At 35.1% G+C, this 17752-nt stretch overlaps 1 long non-coding RNA gene across 1 annotated transcript in view; it reads right to left on the bottom strand.

Annotated features, from left to right (window-relative positions):
* Nucleotides 1-1312: 1312 nt before the first annotated feature.
* LOC107986297 (uncharacterized) overlaps nucleotides 1313-17752 on the bottom strand; it is a 64842-nt gene continuing 48402 nt past the window's right edge. The window contains exon 3 of the long non-coding RNA XR_001741778.1: nucleotides 1313-1568. This is a non-coding gene — a long non-coding RNA (uncharacterized LOC107986297). The remainder of the gene's footprint in view (nucleotides 1569-17752) is intronic.

Here is a 17752-nt window from a genome sequence, read left to right as displayed (position 1 = left end):
CAGAATGACTCAATAAATACTACTAAGGAATTATATGTTTAAAAACCACATGATTATAGTTCTGTATATCTATAACATGAGGTGATATGAAAGAGTTAAAAAAGAGTTAAATAATTTTTATTTCAGATTATACTTCTTGTACTTTATGGTAGAAAAAATAATTACATGTTTGTAATATTTTCTATTATTTAATAATTGGGAATTGTCATTATAAGTCACAAGAGTTTTAAGATGGTTTTAAATTAACATGAGGAGAACATACACAGAAGAACGAAATTGGCAGCTAGACAAACAGATAATTATTCTACCACTATAGATCATCTCATTGAAATCATAAAACATTTATGATAGACTATTAAAAGGTAATGTTGCTTATATATTCATTAATTGTGGCTAAAGTTCAAAGCTGAGACATAGCAAAAGTAACAAGTTCAAAGAGCTTTGAACAGTTGAGGGCAACTCCATCACCCAGCTGGGCTTTCTGAGATGTACTTGGGCAGAGTCTGGTCCCACCACTCTCAATCATCCTTATCCCCACCCCACTCCCACTCTAAACAATAAAGGAGAACTGAGAGGGAGAACAGTATTTCCTCCCCTTACTTTTTCCCGTGGGGCTCTTTCTTACCCGAAATTACGTGAAAACCTCAATCACTTCCATCCTCTACTAGGTCAAGGAGAGTGGTTATCTTCCCTCTGAAATGTGGCACATCAGTCAACCTGCAGAGTGACTAATGCTTCTGGGATAAGGCATCAGAAGAGGCAGAGTCAAAAAGAGGTGACAAGGAAGCATCCTGAGTTCCATCTGTTTATTATACAAGCAAAATTTTGCAAAAGTTGAGAGGATGTCAAGGATCTGAGTGGAGCTCAAACCATTGTTTCATTACCCTTCAAGAAAGTTGCCCACTAGGTGATAGAACTCAATAATGAATGACTATAGGTGGACCATCTGTAACTGAAGCTGGGGGTGAGAGCTTGTGGAAGAGTTGAAGCCAAAGCCAAATATCTCTCATCAAGGAACTGTACTGTTGGGAGACCTCACATAAGGGTTTCCAAAGTGTCCACACAAGTACCCCAGTAGAAAGCCAGTAATTGAATGCTGGCCACCTTGGCAACCAGACCGTTTGGGCCAGAAAGAACAGCAATAATCAAAAGAAACTTACCATGCTATCCAGTCAAAGAAACATTTTTCCTTATGTCTCTCCATTATTTTTTGATCTGCACATTTGAAATTTGAACACTTCTACATTGTGACAGTTTATGTATTTTTTTATATTTTGCACTGTTCTTGAATTTTAATAAGCTTATGTGTATCAATGTGTTTTGTATTTTTCAATTTCCAATACATCAAAACCACATAAAGATGTTAATCCCTTTTTTGTCATCCTGTTACCATGTTCAAAAGAAAACTCTGTATTAGCCCCCAACAAAATGTTGTTTCCTTGTTTCTCGTTCAGAATTTTCTATCTTAGAGAATTAAACTATCATGAACATAGTTCCTTGGGGTAACTCACATTACACATCTGATCCATCAGCATATCTTGTGGTCCTTCTGTCAACATTCAGCATGTCTGAGGAAGCCAAAAACACATAGAAGGATTGATTTTAATAACATATTAGATAGATTTTCCAGTAGTATGTTGAGTAGTGTTTCCTTCAACTTCTAGGGAATTGCGCAAGTGGAAAACTTCTGAATTTATAGTCACTCCTCAAGTGAAATTCTTCAAATATTTAAACGGGAAAAATCATGTCATGTGAAGCTGAGTAAGTACAAAATATTAAGAGAAAAAAAGGAGGAAAGAACCAGAAAGCAAGACAGATGGCAAACACTCATTAGAAAAATATTGCCATGGAAAAAATGAAAATTGAAACCAGATATCTTGTCATTAATATTCCAGACACCTAATATCTCCCTTATATATTAAGAGTACAATGAATGGATACAGAACCCCAGAAAAGAGATATTAAGATATGAGGGAAAGATAAAATGAGGTTGTTCATGCTAAGAAAAGAGGTAGGAGGAGAATGACAAATCATAATGGAAATAAAAGTAAAATTGAAAGCAATAAAAGGAAAGAGAATCTGGGCTGGGTGCGGTGGCTCACGCCTATAATCCCAACACTTTGGAAGGCCAAGGCAGGAGGATCACTTGAAGCCAGGAGTTCAAGACCAGCCTGGGCAGCAAAGCCAGACCCTGTCTCTACCAAAAAATAAAAAATAAAAATAAAAATAAAAATAAATTAACTTAGCCAGGCATGGTGGCATGTGCATTTAGTCCCAGCTAATTGGAGGTTGAGGAGGGAGGATTGCTTGAGCCAAGGAGTTCGAGGCTGCAAAGGAGCTATGATCATACCACTGTACTCCAGCCTTGGCAACAGTGGGACAGCAAGACCTTGTCTTAAAAATAAAAGAAAACGAAAAGAGAAACTGTTGAAGATATATAAGAAACATCTAGGACTGAATTAAGAAAAGTAAAATAAACAGAATGGAAATAAAGAGTCAAAATGTAATAGAAAATATTTAGTTAGGGAAGCTTCAAGAAAAATATTCAAATACAGGCATGAGAGGAGTTCCAAAGGAATAAAATCAAAGTAAATTAAAGAACAAAGCTGGAGGCATCATGCTACCGGACTTCAAACTATACTACAAGGCTACAGTAACCAAAACAGCATGATACTGGTACCAAAACAGAGATATAGACCAATAGAACAGAACAGAGCCCTCAGAAATAATACCACACATCTACAACTCTCTGATCTTTGACAAACCTGACAAAAACAAGAAATGGGGAAAGGATTCCTTATTCAACAAATGGTGCTGGGAAAACTGGCTAACCATATGTAGAAAGCTGAAACTGGATGCCTTCCTTATACCTTACACAAAAATTAATTCAAGATGGATTAAAGACTTAAATCTTAGACATAAAACCATAAAAATGCTAGAAGAAGACCTAGGCAATACTATTCAGGACATAGGCATGGGTAAGGACTTCATGTCTAAAACACCAAAAGCAATGGCAACAAAAGCCAAAATTGACAAATGGGATCTAATTAAACTAAAGAGCTTCTGCACAGCAAAAGAAACTACCATCAGAGTGAACAGGCAACCTACAGAATGGGAGAAAATTTTTGCAATCTACTCTTCTGACAAAGGGCTAATATCCAGAATCTACAATGAACTCAAACAAATTTACAAGAAAAAACAAACAACCCCATCAAAAAGTGGACGAAGGACAAGAACAGATACTTCTCAAAAGAAGACATTTATGCAGCCAACAGACACATGAAAAAATGCTCATCATCACCGGCCATCAGAGAAATGCAAATCAAAACCACAGTGAGATACCATCTCACACCAGTTAGAATGGCGATCATTAAAAAGTCAGGAAACAACAGGTACTGGACAGGATGTGGAGAAATAGGAACACTTTTACACTATTGGTGGGACTGTAAACTAGTTCAACCATTGTGGAAGACAGTGTGGTGATTCCTCAAGGATCTAGAACTAGAAAAACCATTTGACCCAGCCATCCCATTACTGGGTATATACCCAAAGGATTATAAATCATGCTGCTCTAAAGACACATGCACACGTATGTTTATTGAGGCACTATTCACAATAGTAAAGACTTGGACCAACCCAAATGTCCAACATTGATAGACTGGATTAAGAAAATGTGGCACATATACACCATGGAATACAATGCAGCCATAAAAAATGATGAGTTCATGTCCTCTGTAGGGACATGGATGAAGCTGGAAACCATCATTCTCAGCCAACTATCGCAAGGACAAAAAAAACCAAACACCACATGTTCTCACTCATAGGTGGGAATTGAACAATGAGAGCACTTGGACACAGGAAGGGGAACATCACACACCGGGGCTTGTTGTGGGGTGGGGGGAGGGGGAAGGGATAGCATTAGGAGAAATACCTAATGTAAATGACGAGTTAATGGGTGCAGCACACCAACATGGCACATGTATACATACGTAACAAACCTGCATGTTGTGCGCATGTACCCTAGAACTTAAAGTATAATAAAAATATATATCTATATATAAAATAAATAAATAAATTTAAATTAACCAAAAAAAACCCAAATAAGTACTTATAAAAAATTTCTGGGCCAGGTTCAGGGTTCACGCCTGTAATCCCAGTACTTTGGGAGGCCCAGGCAGCTGGATCACTTGAGGCCAAGAGTTCGAGACCAGCCTGGCCAAAATGGTGAAACCCTGTCTCTACTAAAAGTACAAAAATTAGCTGGGCATGGTGGTGCATGCCTGTAATCCCAACTTCTCAGGAGGCTGAGGCACAAGAATTGCTTGAGCCTGGGAGGCAGCGGTTGTGGTGAGCCGAGATCGGGCCACTGCATTCCAGCCTGGACAACAGAGCAGGACTCTGGACTCTGTCTCAAAAAATAAATAAATAAATAATTCTGTCTTTCAAAGAAGTGTTGAAGCTACATGTTTAAATAGCATATCATGTCTTAGACTGATAAAAATTAATTGTTTTGTAATAAAATTTTAAAATTTTTAAACTTCAAGGATAAGTTTCTTTAAAGACTAATACACATAAAAAGGGATGGAGAATATCAGGCTGCCCTCATACCTTTCCTCAGCAATATTAAACACAAGACCATGGAGCTATGCATTTAATTTTGACTCAAAAATGTCAACACAGCCAAACCATTCTTAATATAAAGGCAACAAATACATATTTATCCAAATGAAAGCACTTAGGTAGTATTGCTGCACTGATACCTGCTTGAAGAAACTAGTTGCATGTTAACTCTGGCCAACTAAGAGATAAATGAAATATTAAAGTGGTAAGCATTGCCTCTGTTTATAGCTGTCAGTCTAAGACTAAAATAAAAGTGAGTAACATGCCCAACAATGCAGAAATGATATAGCTAACAGAAGTTTAGAGATACAGGAAGAGAGAAAGTAAATCTTAAATTGAATTACTCAAAAAGCAGACTCTCAGATAAAGATTTGATAATCTTTGTCTTCATTCGATAAAGGTTTGAGTGTCTTAAATCCTTAAGAAAAATGTTTAAATTTTCTACAGATATTTTTATTTATTTCAAAGTATTTTTATACTTATGGAAAAATCTAAATGCCATAAATGGAAGAATACTTACTGATGCAGGAAAATATTTGAGATAGCTAAGTAAAGAGGGAAAAAGAAGGCAAGCTCTGGAAGCAGTTTGAAATTCTACATGGTATTTAATATATATATTTTTAAAAAATTGTATACCCAAAAAGAGTGATAGAAAAAAAGAAAACATGTCAAAACTCTAACAATGCATATGAAAGGCATTACAGAGTTTTCTCTTAATCTTTGTGCTTTTCATTGTATTTGAAATTTTCTGATTTGAGTACATATTACTTCAGTGATTAAGAGGAAATATATATATAATTATATATATTATATATACATATATAATATATATATTATATATACACATATATGTATATTATATATACACATATATGTATATTATATATACATATATAATATATAATATATATACACATATATGTATATTATATATACATATATTATACGTATATTATATATACATATATTATACGTATATTATATATACATATATTATACGTATATTATATATACATATATTATACGTATATTATATATACATATATTATACGTATATTATATATACATATATTATACGTATATTATATATACATATATTATACGTATATTATATATACATATATTATACGTATATTATATATACATATATTATACGTATATTATATATACATATATTATACGTATATTATATATACATATATTATACGTATATTATATATACATATATTATACGTATATTATATATACATATATTATACGTATATTATATATACATATATTATACGTATATTATATATACATATATTATACGTATATTATATATACATATATTATACGTATATTATATATACATATATTGTACGTATATTATATATACATATATTGTACGTATATTATATATACATATATTGTACGTATATTATATATACATATATTGTACGTATATTATATATACATATATTGTACGTATATTATATATACATATATTGTACGTATATTATATATACATATATTGTACGTATATTATATATACATATATTGTACGTATATTATATATACATATATTGTACGTATATTATATATACATATATTGTACGTATATTATATATACATATATTGTACGTATATTATATATACATATATTATACGTATATTATATATACATATATTATATATATTATATACTATATTGTATATAATATATACAATATAATATATAATACATATATACTATATAATATATAGTATATATACACATATATAATATACATATTTATATATTATATATACACATATATAATATACATATTTATATATAAATATTATATATATTATTATATTATATTTACTTTATATATTATATATTATTATATTATATTTATATATTATTTATATTATATATATATTTATATATTATTTATATATATATAAATAATATATAAAAATATAATGATATATATATGTAAATATATATTACATATGTGTGTATATATAATATATATTATATATGTGTATATATGTATATATGTGTATATATGTATATATGTGTGTATATATGTACACATATGTGTACCTATGCGTACATATATGTGTATATATACATATATACATATATGTGTATATATACATATATACACATATGTGTATATATGTATATATGTGTGTATATGTATACATGTGTATATATGTATATATGTCTATATATGTATACATATGTGTATATATGTATATATGTGTATATATGTATATATGTGTATATATGTATATATTTGTGTATATATATATACACAGACACCTATATACACATAGTCATACACACATACACATTCGTACATACAATTAATCACTAATTTATGTGAATTAAAACTGCCAAATATTTCTTTACTTGAACCACTTATCTAACTTGCTCTTGCCACATTCTAGGCCAATTCAACACCACCTCTTACCCCTCTTACCTGGGTAATTGTAATAAGCCACTATTCTTTACCAAAGAATGGGAGTACTTCTACGAAGCCACAGGAACATGAAATTGACTGAACATCATGATTAATGGTCACAGCACACTTTGCTGTTAGAAATGAAAGAAGCTTCCTTCCTGATACAGAAATATGTCACCCTTGACCTCTTATGAACTGCATGATCACTTTCTTAGCAGCTCACTCTCCTCCATCCATGAGCATTGCAAACACTCTCTAAGTTTCCTTCATCAGAAATTTCAGAAAAAATCTCTCCTAGCACAAATTCAAGTTTGCCTTTTTAAAGCTACATGCTTCAATTTTCTTGTCTCAGTTACAAACTCCGCATTTCTCTTCTTGACTCCTTGCATATTTTTAGACATGAATTTTTGTTTCAATCCCCCTTTCTTCCACATCTTTCAGGTGCAAATTAATCCTATTACAAATATATCTTATTATAGATTCACAGATAAGCTTATTTCTCAGAATCCAGCCACAAAAAATGGGGTAGGAGTCCCTATTACTTGGAGGTTGCTCTTTAAAATGTCCTCCCTATGTGCCAGATCAGTGACTCTATCCCTATGCTATTTAGCAAACAATAACATCCAAAATTTAATACAGTAGGGCAATAAATAATTGTATAAATTTCATTATTGCAATGAGTCTATTTATATATTTAATTTTTGAAAATTTTGAATGAGCCATTTAGATGTATATATGAAATCACTAATAACATATGATAGTACAGGACTAGTAGACCTAAAAATGCTCTAAAATTTTCCTTTGAGAATAAAATTACAAATTAATTACATCAAGTTATAATAGAGATATGTAAGCAAAAAAAATTTGATGTGATATCAGAAAACCAATAATAAAACTCTACACACAGAAATATTAGAACATGATGGAGATGATGGAGACACTACTTCAACCTGAGTGACGCTTGAACTAGACCTTGAAAGATGGCTAGGATTTGAAGAGGGAGCAGTGATGGTGGCGAGAATATTCCAGACAGAAGGATGGCCATGTTCAAAAGCACAAAGATATGAGAGTGTATACTCAGAAGGTGATTTGGTTATAGTATAATGATATGTGTGGGGTAGGACATTATGTTTAGCACTGGATTGTGAGGAAACTCAGTTGTTACAGAGAATTTAGATTTTATCCTGCAAGTATGAAACCATTGGAGGTTTCAATGCAGGAAATATGTGATTTAAAAAGTAAATGCAAGAAATGTGATTTAGAAAGGTAATACAAGAGTAGCAGAGGGTAACACTAAATAGGAAGTCACGTTCTAAATAAGAGGTGAGCCAGTATCCGCCCAGTTCCCCAAACCAGAAACCTGTGTCATCCTCAACTTCTTCCTCTCCCTCATTGAAACCATCACCAAGTTCTGTCAAGGTAACGTCCTAAACAGAAATTGAATCCATCCTTTCTTTTTCACACCTGCTATCACTTCACTGGAATATAGTGAAAAGTCAGAGTCACCTCCTGCCTCTTGAGCATGTTGGAAAGCCAAAACAGTTACAATTTTAAATCCTATTTTCTCTTTATCTGAAGCCTGGTATTCTCTCATGGTCATAGGCTAAATCCAGTGTGATCTAAAGGCGCTACTATGTGCATTGCCAATAGATGGGAAGGGAGTTGTAATAGAATTAGTGTATTAGTCCGTTTTCACATTGTTATAAAGAGCTATGTGAGACTGGATAATTTATAAATAAAAGAGCTTTAATTAACTCACAGTTCTTCATGGCTGGGGAGACCTCAGGAAACTTACAATCATGGCAGAAGGGGAAGGGGAAGCAAGCACTTCTTCAAGAGCCAGCAGGAGAGAATGAGGGAGGAAGTACCACACTTTTTAACCATCAGATCTCCTGAGAACTCACTATCATGAGAAGAGCATGGGGGAAGCCACCCACAATCACCTCCCACCAGGTCCCTCCCTAACATGTAGGGATTACAATTTGAGGTGAGATTTGGGTGGGGACACAGAGTCAAACCATATCATTTAGAGATAATCGTGAGGAGGGGAATATTTGCAGAGTCTGGGTGGAGATAATGGGCAATTACCTAAGGAGTAAGGGGGGCGAGGACATAGAGGACATATGACAACAAAAAGAAGGCTCAGGGAGAGCCTGGAGAAAGCAAGATAGGACCAAATTTCGAAAATAAAAGGATATAAGCAGGTTATAAAGGTCCAGAATCATGTACAAGGGGAATAAGGTAGAAAGTCAATCCATACACCTGGGATTTTTTTTTAAGCCTGTGATCACAGAATTAAGGTATTATGGAAACCCTATTGTTGAATTGGAGGATAAGTTTATAAAAAGAAATAGTAAAATTGTCTTAATACTGACTCACTGGACTATTGATAAAGGCACTTTAAGTGCCTACTAAGGAAGATTAGAGCTGGTACAAGCATTGGATATTTAGACAAAAAGTATAGAAAAAAAAATTGAAACCTCCCAATATTTAAGAAAACAATGTAATAATGGAACAACTTTATTAGGAGCACATGCAGACTTTAGAAGAATAAATCTTTATGCTTTATAGAAAGCAAGAGATGATAAATGGAAGTAATTTTGTAGGTATTGTTTTTAGCCATCTGATATGTGTAAAATGTCACCAACATTATATTGATTTTGTGTGCTATCTTTTTAATGATTATAAATAATACTTTAATACTCTAAAAGCTTTCATTTATGATGTCTACTCCCTTACTGTTATTTTTTTCATCATAAATTCTTACATTTATCAACTATGTTTTCCTACCTTAAGGTATGTCCAGGAATCTGACCATTCCAATTGGGAAAGAAATAACTATAATTTCAGGCAGCATCATTGTCATCCAAAGTCTGAATTTCATTTATGAAAACAAGAAATTTCATTTATCTACGATAACTGTTATTTTTCAACCCGTCATTTTCCAATTTAATCTTTTGCTAGGATTTGTACAAAAATGTAATATTTAAGACCAAAGAGACAATGAATGAACCCAGTCAGTAATGGCAAAGGAAGCAGCCAAGCAAGGACATTGGCAGAAAAGTTTGGTACAACTGGAAGTCCAGTGATCAAAACAGAAACGACCATCCTGGCTAACACAGTGAAACCCCATCTCTAGTAAAACTACAAAAAATTAGCTGGGCATGGTGGCAGGTGCCTGTAGTCCCAGCTACTCAGGAGGCTAAGGCAGGAGAATGAAATGAATCCAGGAGGTGGAGCTTGCAGTGAGCTGAGATCGCGCCACTGCACTCCAGGCTGGGTGACAGAGCAAGACTCCATCTCAAAAAACAAAACAAAACAAAAAAACAACGAAGGTCCAGCATTTGGATAAACACTATGAGGCAGAGTAGTTTGGAAGGTCTGAATCATCTATGTGTTCTATAGCCATGAAGACTCAGCAGAAAAAGGAAAAGCAAGGAAGAAAGTCAGTCAAGTTGTAGCCATTTGTGAAAGAGGAGTCAAAAGGAAGAGAAAGTCCAGGCTGGTGCCACCAGATGTCAGAACAAAGACACTGAGTCCGGTAGAGAAAAGCAAAGAGTGTTGATGATGAGACTTTAGTTAAAATGATATACTTCTCTAAGGAGTTCACCCACATCAGAACAGGTTAAGTGACTAGACATGCCTAGGAAATGCAATGCGATGCAATGCCTAAGAAAATGAAAATCTTGTAAAAAGTGGATGGATTTGGGTTTCACTGCATTTATTTGTTTGTGGACAGAGGTCAGTAAAGAAAAGAGAGGAAGTTAGGGCAGACTCTTAAGAATCTAGAAACCTAACAGTTCCCAAATGATTCAAATGACAGTTTTAATTTGCCTGGTTTTTCTGATACCTTGTTTATCACAGTTTTTCATACATCTTATTTAATGAGAAATACAAAATTTCTTTTAAAACATGATTAAAAGTAGTAAAAGTTGAGGGAAAAGTAATTTTTAGAAAAGAAATACACCATTTTTTAAATAAAAGAATTCTTTTAGTGATGCACTTCATTAGATCTGAACTAAAAGGTTTATTAAAATTGTTACACTTTTTCTAATAAAAAAAGACTGAGTAAAATATCTTAATAGAGGTTCTAAGATGGCCGAATAGGAATGGCTCCAGTCTACAGCTCCCAGTATGAGCGATGCAGAAGACAGGTGATTTCGGCATTTCCAACTGAGGTACCGGGTTCATCTCACTGGGGCTTGTCGGACAGTGGGGGCAGGACAGTGGATGCAGCCCACTGAGCGTGAGCTGAAGCAGGGTGAGGCATTGCCTCACCCGGGAAGCGCAAGGGGTCAGGGAATTCCCTTTCCTAGACAAGGAAAGGGGTGACAGACGGCACCTGGAAAATCAAGTCACTCCCACCCTAATACTGCATTTTTCCGATGGTCTTAGCAAACTCCAACAGACCTGCAGCTAAGGGTCCTGACTGCTAGAAGGAAAACTGACAAACAGAAAGGACATCCACACCAAAACCCCATCTGTAGGTCACCATCATCAAAGACCAAAGGTAGATAAAACCACAAAGATGCGGAAAAAACAGAGCAGAAAAGTTGAAAATTCTAAAAATCGGAGCGCCTCTCCCCCTCCAAAGGAAAGCAGCTCCTCGCCAGCAATGGAACAAGGCTGGATGGAGAATGACTTTGACGAGTTGAGAGAAGAAGGTTTTAGATGATCAAACTTCTCCGAGCTAAAGGAGGAAGTTCGAACCCATTGCAAAGAAGCTAAAAACCTTGAAAAAAGATTAGATGAATGGCTAACTAGAATAATCAATATGGAGAAGTCCTTAAATGACCTGATGGAGCTGAAAAACATGGCACAAGGACTACGTGACAAATGCACAAGCTTCAGTAGCTCATTCGATAAACTGGAAGAAAGGGTATCAGCGATTGAAGATCAAATGAATGAAATGAAGTGAGAGGAGAAGTTTACAGAAAAAAGAGTGAAAAGAAATGAACAAAGCCTCCAAGAAATATGGGACTATATGAAAAGACCAAATCTACATCTGATTGGTGTACCTGAAAGTGACGGGGAGAATGGAACCAAGTTGGAAAACACTCTGCAGGATATTATCCAGGAGAACTTCCCCAACCTAGCAAGGCAGGCCAACATTCAAATTCAGGAAATACAGAGAACGCCACAAAGATACTCCTCGAGAAGAGCAACTCCAAGACACATAATTGTCAGATTCACCAAAGTTGAAATGAAAGAAAAAATGTCAAGAGCAGCCAGAGAGATAGGTTGGGTTACCCACAAAGGGAAGCCCATCAGACTAACAGCAGATCTCTCGGCAGAAACCCTACAAGCCAGAAGAGAGGGGGGCCAATATTCAACATTCCTAAAGGAAAGAATTTTCAACCCAGCATTTCATATCCAGCCAAACTAAGCTACATAAGTGAAGGAGAAATAAAATCCTTTACAGACTAGCCAATGCTGAGAGATTTTGTCACCACCAGGCCTGCCCTAAAAGAGCTCCTGAAGGAAGCACTAAACATGGAAAGGAAAAACCAGTACCAGCCACTGCAAAAACATGCCAAATTGTAAAGACCATTGAGGCTAGGAAGAAACTGCATCGACTAATGAGCAAAATAACCAGCTAACATTATAATGACAGGATCAAATTCACACATAACAATATTAACCTTAAATGTAAATGGGCTAAATGCTCCAATTAAAAGACACAGACTGGCAAATTGGATAGAGAGTCAAGACCCATCAGTGTGCTGTATTCAGGAAACCTGTCTCACATGCAAAGACACACATAGGCTCAAAATAAAAGGATGGAGGAAGATCTACCAAGCAAATGGAAAACAAAAAAGGCAGGGATTGCAATCCTAGTCTCTGATAAAACAGACTTTAAACCAACAAAGATCAAAAGAGACAAAGAAGGTCACTACATAATGGTAAAGGGATCAATTTAACAAGAAGAGCTAACTATCCTAAACATATATGCACCCAATACAGGAGCAACCAGATTCATAAAGCAAGACCTTAGAGACTACAAAGAGACTTAGACTCCCACACAATAATAATGGGAGACTTTAACACCCTACTGTCAACATTAGACAGATCAACGAGACAGAAAGTGAACAAGGATATCCAGGAATTGAACTCAGCTCTGCACCAAGTGGACCTAATAGACATCTACAGAACTCTCCACCCCAAATCAACAGAATATACATTCTTCTCAGCACCACATCACACTTATTCGAAAATTGACCACATAGTTGGAAGTATAGCACTCCTCAGCAAATGTAAAAGAAAAGAAATTATAACAAACTGTCTCTCAGACCACAGTGCACTCAAACAAGAACTCAGGATTAAGAATCTCACTCAAAACCGCTCAACTACATGGAAACTGAACAACTTGCTCCTGAATGACTACTGGGTACATAACGAAATGAAGGCAGAAATAAAGATGTTCTTTGAAACCAATGAGAACAAAGACACAACATAACAGAATCTTTGGGATACATTTAAAGCAGTGTGTAGAGGGAAATTTATAGTGCTAAATGCCCACAAGAGAAAGCAGGAAAGATCTAAAATTGACACCCTAACATCACAATTAAAAGAACTAGAGAAGCAAGAGCAAACACATTCAAAAGCTAGCAGAAGGTAAGAAATAACTAAGATCAGAGTAGAATTGAAGGAGATAGAGACACAAAAAACCCCTCAAAAAATCAATGAATCCAGGAGCTGGTTTTATGAAAAGATCAACAAAAGTGACAGACTGCTAGCAAAACTAATAAAGAATAAAAGAGAGAAGGATCAAATAGACGCAATAAAAAATGATAAAGGGGATATCACTACCGATCCCACAGAAATACAAACTACATCAGAGAATACTATAAACACCTCTATGCAAATAAAGTAGAAAACCTAGAAGAAATGGATAAATTCCTGGACACATACACCCTCCCAAGACTAAACCAGGAAGAAGTTGAATCCCTGAATACACCAATAACAGGCTCTGAAATTGAGGCAATAATTAATAGCCTACCAACCAAAAAAAGTCCAGGACCAGATGAATTCACAGCGGAATTCTACCATAGGGACAAGGAAGAGCTGGTACCATTCCTTCTGAAACTACTGCAATCAATACAAAAAGAGGGAATCCTCCCTAAATCATTTTATGAGGCCAGCATCATCCTGATGCCAAAGCCTGGCAGAGACGCAACAAAAAAAAAAGAGTATTTAAGACCAATATCCCTGATGAACATCGATGCAAAAATCCTCAATAAAATACTGGAAAAGTGAATCCAGCAGCACATCAAAAAGTTTATCCACCATGATCAAGTGGGCTTCATCCCTGGGATGCAAGGCTGGTTCAACATATGCAAATCAATACACGTAATCCATCATATAAACAGAACCAAAGACAAAAACCACATGATTGTCTCAATATATGCAGAAAAGGCCTTTGACAAAATTCAACAGCTCTTTATGCTAAAAACTCTCAATATATTAGGTATTCATGGGACGTATGTCAAAATAATAAGAGCTGTTTATGACAAACCCACAGCCAATATCATACTGAATGGGCAAAAACTGGAAGCATTCCCTTTGAAAACTGACTCAAGACAGGGATGCCCTCTCTCACCACTCCTATTCAACATAGTGTTGGAAGTTCTGGCCAGGGCAGTCAGGCAGGAGAAAGAAATAAAGGGTATTCAATTAGGAAAAGAGGAAGTCAAATTGTCCCTGTTTACAGATGACATGATTGTATATTTAGAAAACCCCACTGTCTCAGCCCCAAATCTCCTTAAGCTGATAAGCAACTTCAGCAAAGTCTCAGGATACAAAATCAATGTGCAAAAATCACAAGCATTCTTATACACCAATTAGAGACAAGCAGAGAGCCAAATCATGAGTGAACTCACATTCACAATTGCTTCAAAGAGAATAAAATATCTAGGAATCCAACTTACAAGGGACGTGAAGGACCTCTTCAAGGAGAACTACAAACCACTGCTCAATGAAATAAAAGAGGACACAAACAAATGGAAGAACGTCCCATGCTCACGGATAGGAAGAATCAATATCGTGAAAATGGCCATACTGCCCAAGGTAATTTATAGTTTCAATGCCATCCCCATCAAGCTACCAATGACTTTCTTCACAAAATCGGGAAAAACTACTTTAAAGTCCATATGGAACCAAAAAAGGGCCCACATTGCCAAGACAATCCTAAGCCAAAAGAACAAAGCTGGAGGCATCACACTACCTGACTTCAAACTATACTAAAAGGCTACAGTAACCAAAACAGCATGGTACTGGTACCAAAACAGAGATATAGACCAATAGAACAGAACAGAGCCCTCAGAAATAATACCACAAATCTACAACCTTGACAGAAACAAGAAATGGGGAAGGGATTCCCTATTTAATAAATGGTGCTGGGAAAACTGGCTAGCCATATGTAGAAAGCTGAAACTGGATCCCTTCTTTACACCTTACACAAAAATTAATTCAAGATGGATTAAAGACTTAAATGTGAGACCTAAAACCATAAAAATGCCAGAAGAAAACCTAGGCAATACCATTCAGGACATAGGCATGGGTAAGGACTTCATGTCTAAAACACCAAAAGCAATGGCAACAAAAGCCAAAATTGACAAATGGGATCTAATTAAACTAAAGAGCTTCTGCACAGCAAAAGAAACTACCATCAGAGTGAATAGGCAACCTACAGAATGGGAGAAAATTTTTGCTATCTACTCTTCTGACAAAGGGCTAATATCCAGAATCTACAATGAACTCAAACAAATTTACAAGACAAAAACAACCCCATCACAAAGTGGGCAAACGATATGAACAGATACTTCTCAAAAGAAGACATTTATGCAGCCAACAGACACATGAAAAAATGCTCATCATCACCGGCCATCAGAGAAATGCAAATCAAATCCACAATGAGATACCATCTCACACCAGTTAGAATGGCAATCATTAAAAAGTCAGGAAACAACAGATGCTGGAGAGGATGTGGAGAAATAGGAACACTTTTACACTATTGGTGGGACTGTAAACTAGTTCAACCATTGTGGAAGACAGTGTGGTGATTCCTCAAGGATCTAGAACTAGAAATACCATTTGACCCAGCCATCCCATTACTGGGTATATACCCAAAGGATTATAAATCATGCTGTTATAAAGACACATGCATACGTATATTTATTGTGGCACTATTCACAATAGCAAAGACTTGGAACCAACCCAAATGTCCATCAGTGATAGACTGGATTAAGAAAATGTGGCACATATACACCATGGAATACAATGCAGCCATAAAAAATGATGAGTTCATGTCCTCTGTAGGGACATGGATGAAGCTGGAAACCATCATTCTCAGCAAACTATCGCAAGGACCAAAAAGCACACACCGCATGTTCTCACTCATAGGTGGGAATTGAACAATAGGATTTGGACACAGGAAGGGGAACATCACACACCGGGGCCTGTTGTGGGGTGGCGGGAGAGGGGAGTGATAGCATTAGGAGATATACCTAATGTAAATGATGAGATAATGGGTGCAGCACACCAACATGGCATATGTATACATATGTAACAAACCTGCATGTTGCGCACATGTACCCTAGAAATTAAAGTATAATAATACAAAAGAAGTCTTAATAGATTAAATATTGTACAAGTCTAAGTGAGGTAATCAGTGTTTCAAAGTCTCTGATATAATTTAATTATTTGTTAAGCACTGCATAACAAAATAATTTAAAAATTTTCTCTCAACTTCCAAGTCTCTTGCCTATTATCAATATATTTGGTATTCTACTTTTTAATACCAGTTTAGAGAAAAGTATATAAATATGTTAAATCTTCATAACTAGCAAAATAAATTTTCTCTACTTTGGGACTCTTTGGTTTTTGGATTATAAAAAACCATAAAAATTATGGATAATGGAAATATTATAAAGCCAGAAAATCCAAAACAGTTGAAATAGACCTTGAATGAAGTGTACCTAATTTGAATATAACTCAAATTGGAAATTCAATACAAATTTTATTTTAGTAATCTAATAAAGATTATTAGTTTTATGCCTTTAGAGATAGGGTTTCATCTGGAAGTATCAGTTAAGATTTTTAATCAGTGTCAATTTAGAGGAAACACTGGGACAAGAACATAAAGAAGGAAAACTAAATGCAATCGTAAACACAATTCCCCAAAACAGTTAATGTGGCTTTATCATATTAGTTCCCATATTAAATTCTAGAGATATAAATATGGCCTTACTAGAAGTACACGACTTACAGAAACTGTTTTCCCTAACATCAATAATCATTAATTCATCATTGAATTATTTCACCTCTCCTCTCAAGTCGGCATGTCTGATCATTTAAGATGAGAAATTATAGCAATGAGCCATCATCTTAGGGGCAGTGGCTTTAGGCTTAAACATCCTAGCTTTGAATGACAGCTCTACCACTTGTATAAGTGTGATTTCTTAGACTTGTTATAGAATTTAGTTGAGCTTCTACTTCTCATGCATAAAATAGGTATGTATAAGAATATAGTGAGTATTTTTTAGAGCTGTGAAAGTTGAGTGAGATAAAAATGCATTTAAATCAATGTGTGGTGCCTGTTTCAAGTAATCACTCTATACATGTTAGCTGTTACTCTTTATGAAAAGTCAGAGCTCAGGTGAAAAAGGATGACCCAATAATAGGTCATTAATTCC

This window comes from Homo sapiens, chromosome 4 (assembly GCF_000001405.40).
Source record: "Homo sapiens chromosome 4, GRCh38.p14 Primary Assembly".
NCBI classification, from domain to species: Eukaryota; Metazoa; Chordata; class Mammalia; order Primates; family Hominidae; genus Homo; species Homo sapiens.
The sequence above is the reverse complement of the archived record's forward strand: the minus strand, read 5'-3'. Positions and strand labels throughout refer to the sequence as shown.